General features: G+C 34.2%; 1 protein-coding gene across 29 annotated transcripts in view; it reads right to left on the bottom strand.

Annotated features, from left to right (window-relative positions):
- ZNG1F (Zn regulated GTPase metalloprotein activator 1F) overlaps window positions 1-19,839 on the bottom strand; it is a 74,427-nt gene that overhangs the window by 32,927 nt on the left and 21,661 nt on the right. For 13 of the 29 annotated variants that reach the window (XR_001746359.2, XR_007061337.1, XR_001746361.2 and 10 more), the window contains 5 exons: window positions 19,329-19,425; window positions 18,140-18,231; window positions 8,477-8,514; window positions 2,549-2,595; window positions 766-852 (listed from right to left, as the gene is read on the bottom strand). Coding sequence is in view for 23 of the 29 variants with exons in the window: in NM_001439295.1 (NP_001426224.1) it covers window positions 766-852; window positions 2,549-2,595; window positions 8,477-8,514; window positions 18,140-18,231; window positions 19,329-19,425 (361 nt within the window). In the remaining 6 variants the exon portion in view is untranslated. Of the gene's footprint in view, window positions 1-765; window positions 853-2,548; window positions 2,596-6,043; window positions 6,189-7,611; window positions 7,620-8,476; window positions 8,515-10,057; window positions 10,477-18,139; window positions 18,232-19,328; window positions 19,426-19,839 lie in introns of those variants that run through there. The other 16 variants (NR_170339.1, XR_001746362.2, XM_047423720.1 and 13 more) reach the window with 8 other exon arrangements.

Raw genomic sequence — 19,839 nt, forward strand, 5'->3', positions numbered from 1 at the left:
GCTTTTATTAGTTCAGGTCTTACAAAATAATTCAAAACAAAGTCCCTGAACTATAACTTCATTTGAAAAGTCCATCTTTGTTTTCAAAAGGAATGGGAGTCTCCAGAACAGTCAGCAAAATGACTGTTAGCACATATTTCAGCATCATTCATATTGTCCTGATTGTCCTATGCTGATCAGCCTTGGCTATGGACAAAGAAGATATACAAGCAAGCTGGAAGACAATGCATGGTTGACAGTTAAGGAAGATGAAGTCAACAAGAGTTCAGGGAAAACTGAGACCACTTGAGTCAGGGAAGACTTCACATAGGAAGGGGGGAGAGACAGAATAGGCTCTATAGAATAAATTAAAAAAAAAAACAGAACAAGAAAGAACTCAGGGATTGGCAGAGTGAGAATACATTATGAGTAAAGACAGGAACTGACAGGATGCATCCATGGGAAAGTGAATTAACCATCCTGGGTAAAGTTAGGGAAGACTGACATTAGGAAAGAGTCAAAGAGAAGACAGGAAAAGAAAGATGGAGTGCGAAGACCCTGAATATCAGTCTATTAACTGTGAACTATATTCTGCAAGCACTGGGGACTAATTTTATGTATTACCATTTATATAACAATTAGCCATCAACAATATATGTGATTCCCTAACGTTCTTGAAGCAGGTCAACCTTATACCTTAAGTTTCTACAGGGCAACAATCAGAGTAAAAAACATTCTGTGTATACAATATGGATCTGTAGGCACTTAACACACATCATTTTGTACCTAAGTGTCGTTCTTAATTTCTTTACATCTTCTTCTGGGACCAAGTCTGTTTTATTAATGAGAATGATATCTGCCAAAGCAACTTGCCTAAAATAGCAAACAAAAAGAAATGTTAAGAAATTTTAAATAATATACACGCATGCAGATTAATACATCAAAAGAGAAATGTTAACAAATTAAAAATAAATAAAAACACCTCATGTAGATCAATATATCAGTTAAGGATTATATAGTGCTCTATAGGAGTGATTCAGTTTACTCCTAATCCGCTAATTTTTCAATGTGAATGAATTGTATTCATTACTATGCAAGTTCAGATTTCACATTACCCATTTGCAAAGTATTTACTAAGTTCTGTTACTTGCTACTCTTGTGCTACAAAGATAAGTCTCAAAAAGTTTACAATCAAAAGGATGATTTTAAACTCATAATTTTCTTTGTGAAGAAAAGCATAAAATTCAGATATCCAATATGGTAAAAAGAAGAAGAGTTTACCTACTAAAATACTGTAATATTTACCAAAATTTTCAAAGAAATAGAATAACTTCACTTAATACTAAAAACTGTATTAAACAGGTTTTTTAAAACTATACTTCAGAGCTGGGCATGGTAGAGCACACCTGTAGTCCTGGCTACTTAGGAGGCTGAGGAGGGAGGATCCCTTAAGCCCAGGAGTTCAAGTCCAACCTGGGCAACATAGCAAGACTCCATTTCTTAAAAAAAATAAGCTATACTTCAGAAGATATATCAGGATATTGCACAAATGTCTTCTTTATCACTATAAATATACTGTATATTATCTCTGTAAAGAATCCAGTTGACTGAATGCTAGATAACAAAGTAGATGATAATAATCAGAAGCTCTATTTTCTATTAACAGGATAGTAAAACTGGAAATTCTTTCAATTTTCCTCAATTATTCAGGGTCTTATGCTTTATCTCAAAGAATACAACTAAATTCTCAAAACTAAATTAACTTTAGTTCACTGAAAGAGCAGGTTTCAACAGTATGTACATCACAAATCCAATTTGGCTATTTTCTATTTGGCTTATTTATATTTTCTATAATAACCATATTTTCATAAGGAAAAAAGTTACAAAAATACTTAAGTTCAGCCAGGCGCAGTGGATTCATGCCTGTAATCCCAGCACTTTGGGAGGCCGAGGCGGGTGGATCACCTGAGGTCAGGAGCTCGAGACCAGGCTGGCCAACATGGTGAAACCCCATCTCTACTAAAATAAAATAAAATAAAATAAATAAAATAAAAAAATGCAAAAATTAGCTGGGCATGGTGGCGGGTGCCTGTAATCCCAGCTACTTGGGAGGCTGAGGCAGGAGAATCGCTTGAACCTGGGAGGCAGAGGTTGCAGTGAGCCTGCACTTCAGCCTGGGTGACAGAGTGAGATTCTGTCTCAAAAAATAATAATAATAATTATTATTATACATATATATATATATATATATATATATATAAAATCTTCAATCCCAAAGAAATTGTATAACAAGAAAATATTTTTAAATGTTAATATTTCCCGAGTTCCTCAAAATTACAGAACTCCTGTGTTCAGCATTCACTTTATGCTACGACAAAAATGACTTCAAGTAAAAGTTTAGTTATGAGATCATTATAAATAGATAGCAATAATTCAACTAAGGGAAAAAAAGAAAACAAATTTTCCTTGACTATGTTTTAAAATTTCTTAGTTTGTTTTTGGTTTTCATCTTAGTGATTTTTCTCTTTACGATTAGCCAGCAATCAATATATACTTTAAATATGAATACCTAGTAGCTTCATTGATAAGGCCATCAGGTTTCTCTTCTGTTAAATGCTAAACAAAAAAAAGTTTGAATAAAGTTACTATAATACAATAAAAAATCTAATGTCAACACAAAGGATTTTACTTTAGAGACATTTTCTTGCATTTAATAAAAACTTCAACATGTTCTGTTACTGAATACACAAATCCAAAACTAACTTTTCTAGCTGAAAGCATTTTTCTTCCCCATTTGCAATTTTTTTCTACAAGTGAACCTGTGGGGTTTTATAGGGGGAGGAAGAGGGCTTAGGATTTCATACTCCTGACCTTTTCTTTTACTTAAAAGGAAAACCCCTTTGATTCACATAATGTCATAAAAACATAGAAGATTACAGTTCAGATTTTAGGTATTTTCCTTCTTACAAAACTGTTCTGGTTCTAAATATTCATTATTACTTATTTTAAAAAAAGGATAACCACTGAAATATAGTTTCTTAGAATCTAATATACTTCCCTTCACACCAAACCCCCATATTAGAATCTAAAATACTTCCCTACACCCCAGCCCACAATCATGCACCACGTGAACTCAGTACTAGGCCTTTCAAACACCCTAGAAACAAATAAGTGGTGGGAAGGCTGATTCAGCCCTGATTCTAGCCTAAAAGCAGTTTATCATTTAGAAACCCATACTTGCTAATCTGGCCTCTCAGTGCAACTGTTTATTTTACTGACCTCTCCAGAGTCAGGCTAACTCCAAAAAATATTTTGACACTGACTTAGAGCCCAAGTGGTAGTTTCCATCTCTCTGGAGGCAAGTTTTGTTGTCTGTTTTTTTTTTTCCCCCTCATAATCCTGTTTACATCCCTAACGTCATCAACATCACAAGCTTCTTCTCTGGGAAATTACACTTTTACCCTCATTACCTCAAACCTCAATAGAGGTTCCCTGTCACAATAAAAAGCTGGCTACTGAGGTTTAGAGGCAACTAGATTATAGTAATACTCTATATTTGAAGCCAACTTTACAAATGAATTAAATCCTTGAATCTAACTTTATAAATTATATACATTTTTCTCATTTAGCTTTCATAATAATTATGGGAGATGGCTATTTTCATTTATAAAGGAAGAAACTAAATCTAACACCCTCATCATCACAGGATACTATATTTTATATGCAATCACAGGGACTTTTTTTTTTAATTGAACACACACCCATCAAGTAAAATGAACATAATTTTAAAGCCTTTGTGAAATCTTTTATGCCACATAAAATCAGCCTGTGTACAATGCTACACAAATGTCAATAACCATATATCAGAGCCAAACCAGTTTCATAATTCATGGGGAGATGATCATTAGGGGTATCTGAATAGTTTGGAACCTCAGAGCAAGCAGGTAATAATTTTATTTAACAAGCTTGATTAGGTCTATAGAAGAAACATTTTTTCCTTCTAAAAGTTCAGCAAATTCTATTTTGAGGAAAACAAAACTGAAATAAAATCATGGCAATGATACTTCTACTTCAGGCAAAATTTTGTTCAATTCAACTGCAGACCCACTCTGCAATTATGGAAGTCACAGAACTTGACAAGTATTGTATCAAAAATCATTCCATGCCAAAAGATCAAGTTTAATATTTTTTTCATAATTCATCTTGGCCTGAGGCTACAAGTCCTATTGTTATATACTCTGCCTCTAGAGAATGAGGCTGCTAACAGACCTTGGAATGGTGCCTGGCACAAAGGCTCAAGAAATATTTGTTGAATGAATTGTAATTAACACCTCCTGTTGTGGGGATACATAAAAGATGTTACATGAAAAATGCCATCTAACATGCAGCAACAAATCTCTTCCCATTAAGCAGTAAATCTACTTAACAATGATATATTTTTGTCAAGGCATCTGCCTCTGAATGATCCTATAGTACTGAAAATTCTTTTTAAACTGAAATATTTTTCAAGATATTATATTATTGACCTTATGAAAGCTTTTTTAACATATGAAATTGGGGTTATTTGGCTATGAGTTTGTGAGGCATAAAAATGATATGACAGAAGAATTACAGATTTGTTTTTGCATTTCCATGCCTAAATGTAACTAATACAATGTTAGTTTCACAAGGTAATGTGCAATGTTTTAAATGCATTTACCTCTCCAAAATATTAGAATTCTTCACTCAAAGCTAACAGTGGTAGACTAACGTTTTACTACTTCCAGGCAGTCAGAAAGTATCAAATATAAAAATAAATGAAAATCACCCCAAATGAGAGCCTGCCAATATTTACAGCTGTATTAAAATTATATGTAATCATATACAATTATAGCAGAAGAGATAAATGTCCTCTTCTATGCCCATAGGAAAGCTATACAAACATTTAAAAAAATAAGTGCATCTTAACATTTATTTTCTTTAGACATCAGCCCTGCATTTCCCTCATGTGACTTCCTACCTTCCCAAATCAAACTCTGCAAAAAGTATAAAATCAATGTCTTCTATTCAAAAGAACATTCTCCAATAATACATTATATACCATTTGGTCATTAAGTCAGATGACTTTCATTTATAAAATAAAACAAAATGGAAAGTTTGGCATTCTATTCCACCTGTATAAGTAAATGAAGAAAAAATTTTTGCAAAATATTTTTTAAATATTTTATATTACATAGATGTCCAAAGTATTCCTTATCTCTGCTTAACAACTATGGCTTTTGCTTATATATCAAAAAAGACAAAAATAATTTTGATACTAATTAATCCAACATATTCAAAAGGCTAAGGATCAAAACCCCAATTTAACTTACCACAAGAAACAAAGGAAATTAAAGGGGAGTGGTGTGAGATGTTGGTCAAAGAATACAAAGTTTGTTATACAAGATGCATAAGTCATGGAGAGCTAATTACAGCATGATGACTGTAGTTAATTCTATTGTATACTTGAATCTGCTAAAACATAGATCTTAATTGTTCTTACCACCCCCTCTCAAAAAAATAGCAATGTGAGGTGATGGATAATGTTTGATAATGTAATTCACACACTGTATACCTTAAATATATATAGTTTTTACTTGTCAATTATACCTCAATAAAGCTGGGGGGTTAGAGAGAGAAACAAAGGAACTCTCTGAAATAACACCACTGTAGACCTAACTTCATGAAGGGCTATAGGGTGTCCTTTTCTGCAGAAATAAAGAAAGAAGCCGGACCGAAAAAAGAGAAAGAAAGAAAAGAAAAAACTATCTTAAAACCCACTGGCTATGAAAGAACACTGCTGTTGACCAGAGTGGAAATAAATCTAGTGTCAAAGATGTCTGGTGTCATTTTTAAAAAGCAGCAGCAGGAACTATTTCTTTCAAATGGATTGGTTACAGATGTAACACTATTTTAGTTTTTAAAAAATTATTGCATAATGTCAGTCTATTTATTGTTCTGGCCTTTTCCAAGCTAACTGTTTTCTGACTGAATTGTTTCAACAGATTGTGCAATATAACAGAGGAACCAAGAAGAAACCTCTCACTTGACCTTCTCTGGGTAACTTCATTCATTGCTTCTATTGCATTAAATGCTGTCACATTTGTAGAACTGAAAAGAACAATGTCAGTAGCCCGGGTGTCAAGTCCTCAGAATAGAGAGCTGTCATTTTAAGTTGTCCAATTCTTTGCCTATGATTAAAAAATGAATATTTCAGATCAATGGGTGACAATCCCATTAGAGTGATACCCCATGATATCAATTACCACTTCAGTTTCAATTTGGCTGGCTGGCCACAGGGTACCATTTCTCAACTTTACTTGTCATGGGCTGGCTCTGTGAAGCATGACATTCTTAAATTGCTGCCCATTATCCAAGTGTCATTACTTGTACTGCCTCAGAATTCTCTGAATCACAAGCAGCTACTGAGGTCAAGCTTTGCAACCAGAGGAATTGGACAAGTTGGAAAATTCTTTATATCAAGGCAAAGTTATTTATCTGGCATCCGACTTAGAAAATTTAAAGTTTCCATTATCCTGACAGTGTGTCAGTTTCATGTAGGTATATTGATTTAATAATTTAAGAGGTTTTATCAAGGTAGCAGAAGGTTAAACGTTTACTGTGTTTGCATTATTCAGAATGTTGCTTTGCTTTTTTGGCCTCCGTCATGCTGATAATAGATTCTATTTAACTCTTCTCCATACCCAACTATACATATAAAATTTTTCCTATAATCATAAAATACATAAACAGTTTGACTTTTAGCATGGCATTTTCAGTCTATCAAAATAAAAAAAAAACAAAATGTCTTAGCAGTTATCTGTCACATAGGTATATCAAATTTTGTAATAAATTTATGGAAGAGGTAGATTCAAACATGCCTATAATAAACATTCAAAATGAATAATTTGGGGCTTTTTTGCTACCTCCATAAGCATTTTGCAAGAAATATGATTTCCAACAGTCATTGGAATTTTTCTGCGTGAAACTGTAATACTGTATTTGGGATCATTCTTTGATTCTTAAATTATATTCATAAATTCATAAATTGAGATTTTAAACTCTAAAAAACGAGTTTTCTTCCAAACTTTTCAAACTAGGGCACTCTATCAACGAGGGAGAGAAGGCCCAGTGAAGAGGTATTGGTAGCTATTTGACAAACCTGACATATCCCCTTAGAGCATAATTTCAGCAAAGATTTGGGAAAAAAAAGCAAACTTAAACATTAACAAGTTCAGGCCGGGCGTGGTGGCTCATGCCTGTAATCCCAGCACTTTGGGAGGCCGAGGCAAGTGGATCACTTGAGGTCAGGAGTTCATCACCAGGCTGGTCAACATGGTAAAATCCTGTCTCTACTAAAAATACAAAATTAGCTGGGCATGGTGGTGTGCACCTGTAATCCCAGATACTCAGGAGGCTGAGACAAGGGAATCGCTTGAAGCTGGGAGGTGGAGGTTGCAGTGAGCCAAGATGGTGCCACTGCACTCCAGCCTGGGCAACAGAGTGAGACTCTGTCTCAAAAAAAAAAAAAAAAATTAACACGTTCAGATATGAGGTTGGATACAAAACAGACACTAATTTTTAAACACTGAATTTAAACTTCTAAGAACTTACTGCTTTGGGCCCTATCCATATGCTCAGATTGGGAACGGGTCAGTGGGTGGGATGATTTCATTCTCTTCTGCCTTTAGTGGTATTTCACCTGGGAAGTTGAGAAACATCATTTTACTGTATGTAACAACATACTTTTAAAGATCTTACTAAATGCATTTTATAAATTAAACCTCATTTAAATGCATTCTAGGACCTTAGAAGTTAACAAAAACATTCATAGCAGGATGTCTTTTACACTTGATCTTAGCCAAAAGACCAAGAAGCGATGCAAGATGCCTTTTAATGGAGAGAGTCTTCTTACTAATCCTATGTGTATATCCTGATTTTCTTCAATATGTACTTTTTAAATTTTAAGTTCCAGGGTACATGCTCACGATGTGCAGGTTTGTTACATAGGTAAACGGGTGCCATGGTGGTTTCCTGCACCTATTAACCCATCACCTAGGTCTTCAATATTTTTTAAAAACTCATTTCCAGTGTGTGTTTAATAGTAATTTAACAAGAAAAATAAGATCTCAGATGCTTTATCAAGCTCAGCTTCTTCTATGGAACAGAAAAACTTACCAATATTGGGGTTGAATCCTTGTGAAGAGCTATACATACCAAACTCTATCCTAACCCCATATGCTTATTACAAATTATAATTCCAAATTTTATCACCAAATCAAACTCAGAGTAATAGAAAAGAAATATTTAACACAAACTAATAATTAAAACACAAATTTCACCTATTGTTCAGGATATCTTTTTGAGAAAGGTTTTTGTTAAAGAAAATTTCAGATACAAACATAAAGAAAATTAAACAATCAATCCCCATATTCCCAGCTCTCAATAATGAGCCACTCATAGCAATCTTTCAACTTACTTTTAATCCATATTTTGAATCCACAATAGTTATGATACCTACAAAGGAAAAAACATTTTAATCACTTTTTAAAAAGAATGCTTATTAATACTTGTGCAACCATACTTCAGAATGAAAATTAAAACTAACCTATTTCAGTTCACAAATACTACTCAATAAAACAATGTACTGTTTTTTTCTCTTGCCAGTGCTGCCATTTAATTAAATTCCAGTAATAAGTCAATGCATTTCCTGAGTGGCTAGCACTATTTTAAGGCACTAGAGAAGATATAAAACAAATAAAAATTTTAAATTAAATAAATAAGAAAATAAGATTTCCTTGGCACTGAAAAAGCTTACAATCCAAAATATAAGTCAAATTTCATAACATAGTCAAATGTGATAAGTACATAAGACAGGTTATTTCTAGTTTATTTTCACATAATCAAAATCAAGACTTTTCTTAAGATTTAAATTATTGCCTAAAGAATGAGACATCTTAAGGTATCATTCCTAACATCTCTCACCAAATCCAAATCCAACTCATAAATGTTTTACATAACATATGCCTAAGTTTCCAAACTACCAATTCATTTTGCAATCTCTGAATATATGCTGATAACAAAAGAATGAGTTTAATTATGCCTAAGGAATTCAACCAGTTACCCGCCACATATATTAGAGCTCAATGATGGGGCCCAGCTTAATAATTCTTAAATTTCTTAATGATTATTACTTTTGAAAAAGTAAGAAAATTTCGACTGGTTTTTAAAAAGGTGAAAAAGGGAAAGAGAAAGGGAGAAAACATAGTCGCTTAACTAAGAAAGTTTCTAATATATTTTAAATGAAGGCATATCATTGCCCAAAAGTGTTCAGGTAAATAAAGTAAGGGAGGAGTGTTTAATTCTTATCTTCAAGAGAAAATAAAAGCAAAAATATGATCCTCATATTGCCTGGAGGATTAAAATAAAAGGCTCTAACATTATATTAAGGGCATAAATCAAACAACAGAGGATACAGAAAACCTACAAAGCATTTTTTTTTTTTAAAGAAAACCTTAGTGGAAGCACTAAATTGGAAGTTGAGTGACATCGAGTTCCACCACTGTCTGGGGTTTTTTAATCTATATGAACAAAGATTTCATCATTAAACTAAAGTGTGAAAAGAACAACAATGCAAGGAATTAAAGTTATAATATGAATGAACAACAATAAGCTCAACCATAAAGATTTTACTAAAAAACAAAAGAGGCAGGGTGTGGTGGCTCACGCCTGTAATCCCAGCACTTTGGGAGGCCAAGGCTGGCGGATCACCTGAAGTCAGGGGTTCAAGACCAGTCAGGCCAACATGGCAAAACCCCGTCTCTACTAAAAATCCAAAAATTAGCCAGGTACGATGGTGCACGCCTGTAGTCCCAGCTACTCGGGAGGCTGAGGCAGGAGAATCACTTGAACCCAGGAGGTAAAGGTTGCAGTGAGCCGAGATCATGCCACTGCACTCCATGCACTCCAGTCTGGGCAACAAAGTGAGACTCTGTCTCAGAAAAAAAAAAAAAAAAAAAAAAAAACAAGAAAGATAAAAGAAAACTGTTTTTTAACTTACCATCAAGGTAAATATCACTCCCTAATTCGGCATCAACCCAAAACATAGAAGCCACTGCACGTGAAAATATATAATATTCATCAAATAAAAATATTTCTTCACATTGAGAAACATGATTCTATCCATGTTTTAATTTGCCCTGATAAAATTAACAGGTAAACACATATATCTTCTTATGGAAATTATAGTGATAGAAGCTTTAACTATTTATAGCAAAAGGGAATTATAGTGATAGAACCTTTTACTATTTATACCCATTCCATTTCCATCTCTCTTGTTATTTCCTTTAAAAAAGACCAATTCTAACCACATATAAACAAAACATCATTCTTCTACCGATGCCATAATAATTTAATTAACAGATATTATCAAACAATTTGAGCAGTATGGCTTTGTGCACATCAGACTTATTTTTATTTTCTCACCTCTTTAATATGATAATCATTCAATCATAAATAGTGAATTATCACTCTAAAGGAAAAGGAAAACAAAACATAGATAATTCCAAAATCACTTGCCCAAAAAAAATTTACTTGTAATCTGTGTAGAACTAGAAGTAAAATTATATACTCTATGGCATTACTAATTATTCCTCACACTAATTATTTAGGACTGTATAAAACCTGGGTCTTAGGAAAAATTTTTCCTAAATAATAAATTAAAACTTGCTTTTGACAGAAATTGGTTCAGTACCAAACCACGTACCCTGATTAGTATGCCACAACGCAAGAAAAAGAAAACTGACAGCAAGGAAAGTATTTGATTTTTGAAAGCATCACAGGCCCAGTTAGTGACAGGGCTGTCTAAAAGAATAAGTGTAGGAGAAAAACAAGGATAATCAAACTCATTCCAAAGTCTAAAGCTGTCCACCTGCTCTGACAAGATGTGGTCCCCCAAGCATCACTCTGTGTCAACAATGAAATAACGGTCAGCTGTTTACAGTGATTACTCATGCAAGATATAGCAAGGGCCACAAGATCTAATGGTTTCCTGATACCTATTGATTTTTTTCCCAAAAACGTAATAGTTTTCCAATTTGACTCAAATAGGATTTGTGAGTAACAGGGGCTGAATCAATGTCCGTTCTTTTCAAGGAAATTACTTTACCATGACAATTATTTAACTTAGAACTGGAGAGTGTCAGTCTCCAAAACGGGAAACAACTGAATTGCCAATAAGAATTCTGTTCACTTTCTTGGCTAAAACATGATTTTAATTAATGAGGGGGAAAATTAAATCTACTGTATCACTACTCCAAACAATAAGTCATTTAAAAAAGCATGAATTTTTTCACTCAGTAAAATATCTAACATACATAAATCATTTTGTAATTTTTAAAAATTCATTGATTTTTAGTCTAATAAATAGTTTACAAATCCTACTGTTAATATTTGCCTCTTAAGTTGAAATGTAAGAGTATATTAATGCTTTATTCTAAAACTGGTATTTATCTTTGATATAATACTTGCCAGACTACATGAGAAAGATCTATTTAAAATTTGGATGTAGGTATTTAGGAGGAGTAAAGATGAATGAACAAAATTGATTAGTGGCTCTCAAACCAGGGTGCTTTTCTCCCCAGGGAATATTTGGCAATGTCTGAAGATGTTTTTGGTTCTCTTAACTAGGGGAATGCTACTGGCATCTAGTGGGTAGAAGCCAGGGATGTTGTTAAATATCCTACTCTGCACAGGGCAACCCCCTCACAACAAATAATTATCCAACCCAAAATGTTATTTGTGCTGACACTGAGAAAACCTGAACTACATTTTAGAATCTCCCTTCTTCAAAATCTAATAAAACAAAAAATAAAAATAAAAAATAAAACAAAAAGGCCAACATTTTATTAGCAGCAACCAAATATAAAAGGGCCTGCCATAAATTTTGAAGACTGATAGTCAAAATAAGAAACAAAGTTATATGTGATTGATGGTCATTCCCAACTCTACCCCTACCTCCAGTAAGAGGTTGTAGGGAAATAGTTTACAAAATCCTAAACACTTACCAGAAATACACTCCAAAATGGCAAAAAGTAGAGCCGAGGAATGAATAAGCAACAGAGGGAAAAGTCAACAAAAAAATTTCAAGAGTGAGTTTTAACCATCTCCATGCTTTGGGAAGGAGAAGGTCAGGTCACATTCTAGGGCTCAGAACAAAGAGAAATGAGAGGTCTGAGGTCGAATGATGTCCCCATACAAGGCAAAGGAATTTTATTCATAAGCAGTTGGGCAGACCCAAGAGTGAAATACTTGGTACTTCAAGAGAGCAGAGCCTAAAAGCCACATTGCCCCATTTGGCTCTCTGAATCACCACTTTTCCCTTCTCCTTCCCTCCACTCCAACAATATACAGCTTTCAAACTAGGGCTCAGGAGAAAAACAAACTTGGGTAAGGAGAGTGGAGTATTAAAAATATTTCCCATCAGCACCACATAGAAGTTCTCCCATATCAAGAAGAAACATGTATGCATATGTATTACAGCCTGACAAAAAGAAATACACACATACAGGGAATAAAAAGCAAGAAAGAACACAAAATGAAGAAATGAATAGGGCATACAAGTGGCAAAGAACCCATTCTGGAAGGATACATAACCCAATAAAAACTAAAGAAAATTCTCAACAACTTCATCATAATGAAGAACTTGAAAACAATACAACCTTATAATAAACAAGCTCAAAAGCAAGAAGCAGAATAAGATGAAAATGCAGTTTGTAGTGCTAAAGAAACTTAGAGCCTATATAACACAATGACTTAACCAATTAATTCATTTAAAATATCAAAAACAGGACAGATACTGGAGAAAACAGAATTATTGACAAAAAGAAAGGCTTCAGATGATCACAGTAAATGCAAAGGTAAAAGACAAATCAAAGCAATTAGAATACATACGAAGAACAAAAGAAAATTCAGTATTAAAAAAACTGGTGTCATGAAGTAGAGGATCTAATAATTTGACCAAAAAAAAGTATTCATGGTAATAAACAAGGAAAATGTTCTTAGAAGAACTAAGGGCATATTATAATTTAGGGAAAAATGATTATAAGTGACACTTAGATATACCTTGTTTATATTACTGAATTTCAAAAATAAAGAAGAAAACTCTCAGGCATTTTAGATTAAAAAAAAAAAAGTGCCTTCAAGGAGGGAGGGAGAAAAATCAGACTTTTCTACAGTAACACTAGATGTCCCAAAATAATAAAACAGTGACCACAAAGTTCTAATGAAAGTGTTCCCAAACAAGTTATTTTTCAGGAACGAAAGCAATAGACAGACATTCTCAAGCATTAAAGAAAACAGCAAGCATTGAAACTCAGAGACTATAATACTCACAAATTCTTCCTAATAAAAGGAGAAAACATTGGACAAAGAAATCCAGCCAATCAAACACTAGGAGATTATGGAACAACATTTACAAAGTTGAGGGGGAAAAAAGTGTGACTGATAAATTTTATACCTAGCCAAGTAATCCTTCAAGTAATATAAAAACAAAAGACAAATATTTTGAATCAATGAAGTGTATAAGAACCCAAAGAATGCATGCAGTACCTGTAACTTGAAAAGACTGCCTGACAATGAAATTCAATCAGGAGATGGACTAACTCGGGAATGGAGAAGCAACAGTACTGGTAATGAGCACCAAAACTATTAAAACATAGAACTAAAAGAATTATGACAGAACCATGACAACATAAAGAATATGATCAACACGAAACTAGGCCAATTAATATCCTACAATGGCCTCTAAGTGTTCAAGTGAAAGGAACAGTCACCTGTTTCTCACTTTAAATCAAGAGCTAGAAATGATTATGCTTAGTGAGGAAGTTATGTTGAAAGCCAAGATACGCCAAAAGCTAGGTCTCTTGAGCCAGTTAGCTAAGTTGTGAATGCAAAGGAAAAGTTCTTGAAGGAAATTAAAAGTGCTACTCCAGTAAACACACAAATGATAATAAAACAGCCTTATTGCTGATATGAAGTGGTCTGGATAGATGATCAAACAAGCCACAATGTTCCCTTAAGCCAAAGCCTAATTCAGAGCAACCCTAACTCTCTTCAGTTCTATGAAGGCTGAGAGAGGTGAGGAAGCTAGAGAAGAAAAGTTGGAAGGTAGCAGAGGTTGGTTCACAAGATTTAAAGAAAGAAGCCATCTCCATAACATAAAAGTGCAAGGGAAAGCAGCAAATGCTGATATAGAAGCTGTAGTAAACTACCTAGAAGATGTAGCTAACATCATTCATGAAAGTAGCTACACTAAGCAACAGACTTATTTTTTATTTATTTATTTATTTATTTTGAGATGGAGTCTCGCTCTGTCACCCAGGCTGGAGTGCAATGTGCAATCTCAGCTCACTGCCACCTCCGCCTCCCGGGTTCAAGCCATTCTCCTGCCTCAGCCTCCCAAGTAACTGGGATTACAGGCTCCCACCACCAAGCCAGGCTAATTTTTGGTATTTTTAGTCGAGATGGGGTTTCACTATGTTGGCCAGGCTGGTCTTAAACTCCTGAACTCGTGATCTGCCCATCTCGGCCTCCCAAAGTGCTGAGATTACAGGCATGAGCCACCGAGCCCGGCCAGCAACAGATTTTTAATGGAGATGAAATGGCCTCCTTTTGGAAGATGCCATTTAGGACTTTCATAGCTATAGAGAAGTCAATGCCTGGCTTCAAAGATTCAAAGGACAGGCTGACTCTCTTGTTAGAGGCTAAAGCAGCTGGTGACTTCAAGTTGAAGCCAATAATCATTTACCATCCTGAAAATTCTAGGGCCATTAAGAATTATGCTAAATCTCCTCTGCCTGTTTTCTATAAATAATAAAGCCTAGATGACAGCACATCTGTTTACAGCATGGTTTATTTTAAGCCCACCATTGAGATCTACTGCTTAGAAAAAAAAAGATTCCTTCAAAATATTATTGCTCATTGACAACACACCTGATCACCCAAGAGCTGTGATGGAGATGTACAAGGAGATTAATGTTGTTTTCATGCCTGCTAACACAACATCCATTCTGCAGCCCACTGATCAAGGAGTAACTTTGACTTTTAAGTCTTATTTAAGAAATATATTTCATAAGGCTATAGCTACCATAGATAGTGATTCCTCTGATGGATCTAGGCAAAGTAAATTGAAAACCTTCTGGAAAGGATTCATCATTCTAGATGCCATTAAGAACATTCGTGATTCATGGGAGATCAAAGTATCAACATGAATAGGAGTTTGAAAGATGATTCCAGCCCTCACAGATGACTTTGAGGGATTTCAGACTTCAACGGAGGAAATAACTGCAGATATGGTGGAAACAGTAAGAGAACTAGAATTAGAAGGGGAGTCTGAAGATGTGACTCAATTCCTGCAATCTCATAAGAAAACTTTAACTAATGAGAAGTTGTTTCTTATGGACGGGAAAAGAACGTGGTTTCTTGAGATGGAATCTACTCCTGGTGAAGATGCTATGAACACTGTCAAAATGACAACAAAGGATTTAAAATATGACAGAAGCTTAATTGATAAAGCAGGGTTTGAGAGGACTGACTCCAATTTTGAAAGAAGTCATACTGTGGGTAAAATGCTATCAAATAGCATCATGTGCTATAGAGACATATTTTATGAAAGGGAGAGTCAACTAATGCAGCAAACTTCATTATTATCTTATGAAATTGCGATAGCCACCCCAACCTTCAGTAACTACTACCCTGATTGGTCAGCACCCATCAACATTGTGGCAAGACCCTCTACCAGCAAAAAGATTATGACTTGCTGAAAGCTGAGATGATCGTTAGCATTTTTTAGCAATAAATATTTTTAATTAAGGTATGTATGTTTTTTAGACAATTCTATTACACATTTTATAGACTACAGTATAGTATAAACACAGCTTTTTTTTTTTTTTTTTTTTTTTAAGAAATGGGGTCTCATGCTGTCATCCAGGCTGGAGTGCAGTGGTGCAATCATGACTCACTGCAGCCTCAAACTCCTGAGCTCAAGTGATCCAAGTAGCTGGGACTACAGGCCTGTCACATCACACCCGGCCAAAACGCATAACTTTTATATGCAATGGGAAACAAAAAAATGTGTGTGACTCACTCTATTGTGATATTCAGTTTACTGCAGTGATATGGAACTAAGCCCACAATATCCCTGCGGTATGGCTGTACAGTATAAGAATCACCTGAAGGGCTTATTAAAAACAGCTTGCTTGACCCCCTCCCTTAGAGATTCCGATTCAGTAGATCTGGGTTGGTCAAGAATTTGCATTTCTAACAAGCTCCCAGCTGAGGCTGAGGCTGCCATTCAACATACTACCAAGTAGCACTGGCATAGAGAGATCCCTGGAATAAAATTTACCTACTTGTGTGTGTGTGTATGAATGTGTGTGTGTGTGTGTGCGTGTGCATGTGCGTGTGTGTGTATACAGTCTTGCTCTGTTGCCTGGGCTGGAGTGCAGTGGCGTGATCTCGGCTCACCATAACCTCCGCCTCCCAGCTTTCAAGCGATTCTCATGCCTTAGCCTCCTGAGTAGCTGGGATTATGGGGTGCGCCACAACGCCTGGCTAGTTTTTGAATTTTCAGTAGAGACTGGATTTCACCATGTTGGCTAGGCTGGTCTTGAACTCCTGGCCTCAAGGGATCCACCTGCCTCAGCCTCCCAAAGTGCTGGGATTACAGGCATGAGCCACCATGCCCAGCCCTTACTTGTATATCACAATAGTGAGATGATTACTTTTCAACTTTCTTCTTTGTATTTTTTAGGTATTTAAATTTTTTTACAATGAATGTTCCATCTTTACCCAAACAATAAAATCTTTATTGTAAAGAAAGTTAGAAGCAAGAAACATTAACATTTTTTATAACTACAATTTGTATAAAAGCTTTCTCTGTGATCTTTAGTTTTTCTTTCTTCCTCTGAAAAGCTGAATCGTGTTTAATTAAACTCTCAAAAGTATCAAGTTTTTGTCTATAAAATGGCAAAACTGGCTATGATGAAATAAACTGATATTTGCTATTTCTAATAAAAGCATACAATATATTCTTTCTTACCAGATTCAAATAATATTTAACGCCAACATATTAGTCCAAGTCCTATCATCAGTCAGATTTATCAGAAAGGTATGAAAACCCATGCCTACTATAAGGACCAAAATAGCCTAATTCAATACTACTTTGAAAACATGGGGATGATGTTACTACGTAATTGTTTTAAGTACAATAACCACTGATCACATTTGAACTCTCAGGATACTTCAATATTTCTTTTGGACAACTATGACCTGTTTAGTAAATTACCCCCAAATACTTTAATATAGTTTTACAAATCGCCCCAATGCCAGAGACCCAGATCAAAAAGAAAATAATGGTATGGGTCAGATTCACAGAATAAGCACTAACTTTTATGCAAACTGAAAATAAAGATTTTATCTAAAAGTTATTTGGGGAAAATAAGCAGACTTTATCAAGAATTAGAGCTTGGTAAGAAGGTAACAGAAACCCATTGTGAGAAACAGGTTGACTCTGTGTAGCTTTCCATAGTAGAGTTTAGAGTTTCTTGTCATGATTACCTTATCAATGCAGTATAATAACTACTTACACAGCACTTACATTGTATTAGGTATTATAAGTAATCTACAGATGATTTAAAGTATATGGGAGGATGTGCATAGGTTATAGGCAAATACTACACCATTTTATGTAAGGGACTTGAACATTAATAGATTTTGGTATCCTCAGAGGTTCTGGAACTAATACGCCATGGATGCCAAGGGACAACTGTACTTAGAGGTAGAACGTCTCTGCTCTTCCTACATGTCCTTATTTTTAACAACTTCTGTTCTTACAAATAATCCTAAGTCAATCAATAAAACTTCAAATTCTATTAACAGCTTAAAAGCACCAAGAAATACTCTGATCATTCATTCAACTGCCAAAGAAAATGACAACCAAGTACTTTTCCTCTTTTAAACCAAAAAAAGTTTTTGGTTTAATACTAACAAAAGCTTTAATACTCATTTTAGATATTCCTCTAATACATCTATTTACAATATATCACAGAACTATATTCTGGTTATTAATAATCTCACTTCTTACCAGGGTCTGCTAATCCAGTGGTCTCTAACAGTATGTCATCAAATTTCCCCTTCTTTTGCATCAAATTCTCAATAGCTCTAAGGCCATTGTCCCTGGAGAATACCAAAACATAATTTACAGTTAATTACCTAAATATTTTGAAGTGATTATTATAAACACTTTAAAATGTATTCAACAACCCGAGACAAAAGTATCCTTAGGAATGTGAAAATTTAACTCACTTCTAACCTTCTAACAAAATGTCTGTCCCATATTTACCAGTGAGAAAACAATAGATGCATATATATAATAGGTAAAAAGAAATCATATACATAATAATACTTTATTAAAATTAAAAGCAGAGGAAACTTTATCTGACCAAGTATCTTTTTATAGCTTTATGAAATTTTTAAAAACCAACATACAAAATAATGATAAAATTTATTAACTATAGTAGTTTAATATAATAGCTAAAGGGACACTGATATTAAACACCATATAATTCTATTTTACATTAGGATGCAAGGTTTTAAATTCCTTTTTTCTTATTTTATCAAAAGTGAAGGAAAATCCTTAATAGATTACATTTTGGTTGTTCAAGAAAGTCTGTTATAATTTTATCCTTGCCAAAACATTTGACACAAAGTCAAATACCTAAGGGAGTAAATGATGCCGAAGAGATTTAATTCACTAGAATACACAAAATTAACAATACAAGTAGTCATTTTTATAATTCATTCAACAAATATTTGAGTGCTACTATGTGTTGGGTAACTCTTCTAGGGTCTATGGTAGACTAGTGATCACTGTCCTTGGAAACTTAACTACTAGAACATAATGTAAGGTTTTTCTTTTTTGATAGTCATTTTTTTTTTTATAAGGTTGAACACTTAGAAGTATGACCAATGACAGATTAAATTCAGAATAATCATTTTTTACATATGAGACTTTCATGCACTAGAGATTAAATAAGCCCTGACATCAAAAGCAATAAAAACTCAATAAAAGGACCAAAACATTAGAGCAGATAGAAAAGACAGCAAGAAACACTTTAAGAAAATGCTTCCTAATAAGTTTATTTTCTATTTGTTTGAAAATACAATGAAGCAAACTGTGTAAATTCAGTTAAATTACTCAAGAAAATTAAAGCTGGAAATATAATCAATAAACATTTCTAGTAAACCATGTACACAGTAAACACATTCCTCACTTCACTGAACAGCAGAGGCAACCGTTTCTAAGTTCCAGCCACTCTTCATAGAGCTCTCCACCTTGGCTGACAGCTAAGGATTTCTCCAGCGCACTTCCTAGAATAAATAACAAACAATAAATAAACAAACTCTTTAGCTTATGTCCATTAGCCAACAAAAAACAAAGATGAGGATAACTCAATAATGGAGATCTTAAAGCAGAAACTTATATTTTATAACTTATATTCTTTCACTTTATTCATGCAGCCTTGATACCTAAATTACAGTACACTACATTATTTTAGCTTTTATTTAAGATGTCTTAAGCCCTGAAAAAGACACATCCTAAACTGATAAACATACCTACTTCCTCCTTAGGCCTCTTACTTGGCCACCCCCATTTCTTAATGAAGGCATTTTTTTCTTGTCCAGGGTAAACTTTCTAAATCGACTAGTATGTTTTATATACTGGATTCTGTATGCCCTTCAACCTCTTAAGAGACTGCCTTATCTATCTTTTTCTTTTCATTC

Source organism: Homo sapiens, chromosome 9 (genome assembly GCF_000001405.40).
Source record: "Homo sapiens chromosome 9, GRCh38.p14 Primary Assembly".
In the NCBI taxonomy this organism is placed as follows: Eukaryota; Metazoa; Chordata; class Mammalia; order Primates; family Hominidae; genus Homo; species Homo sapiens.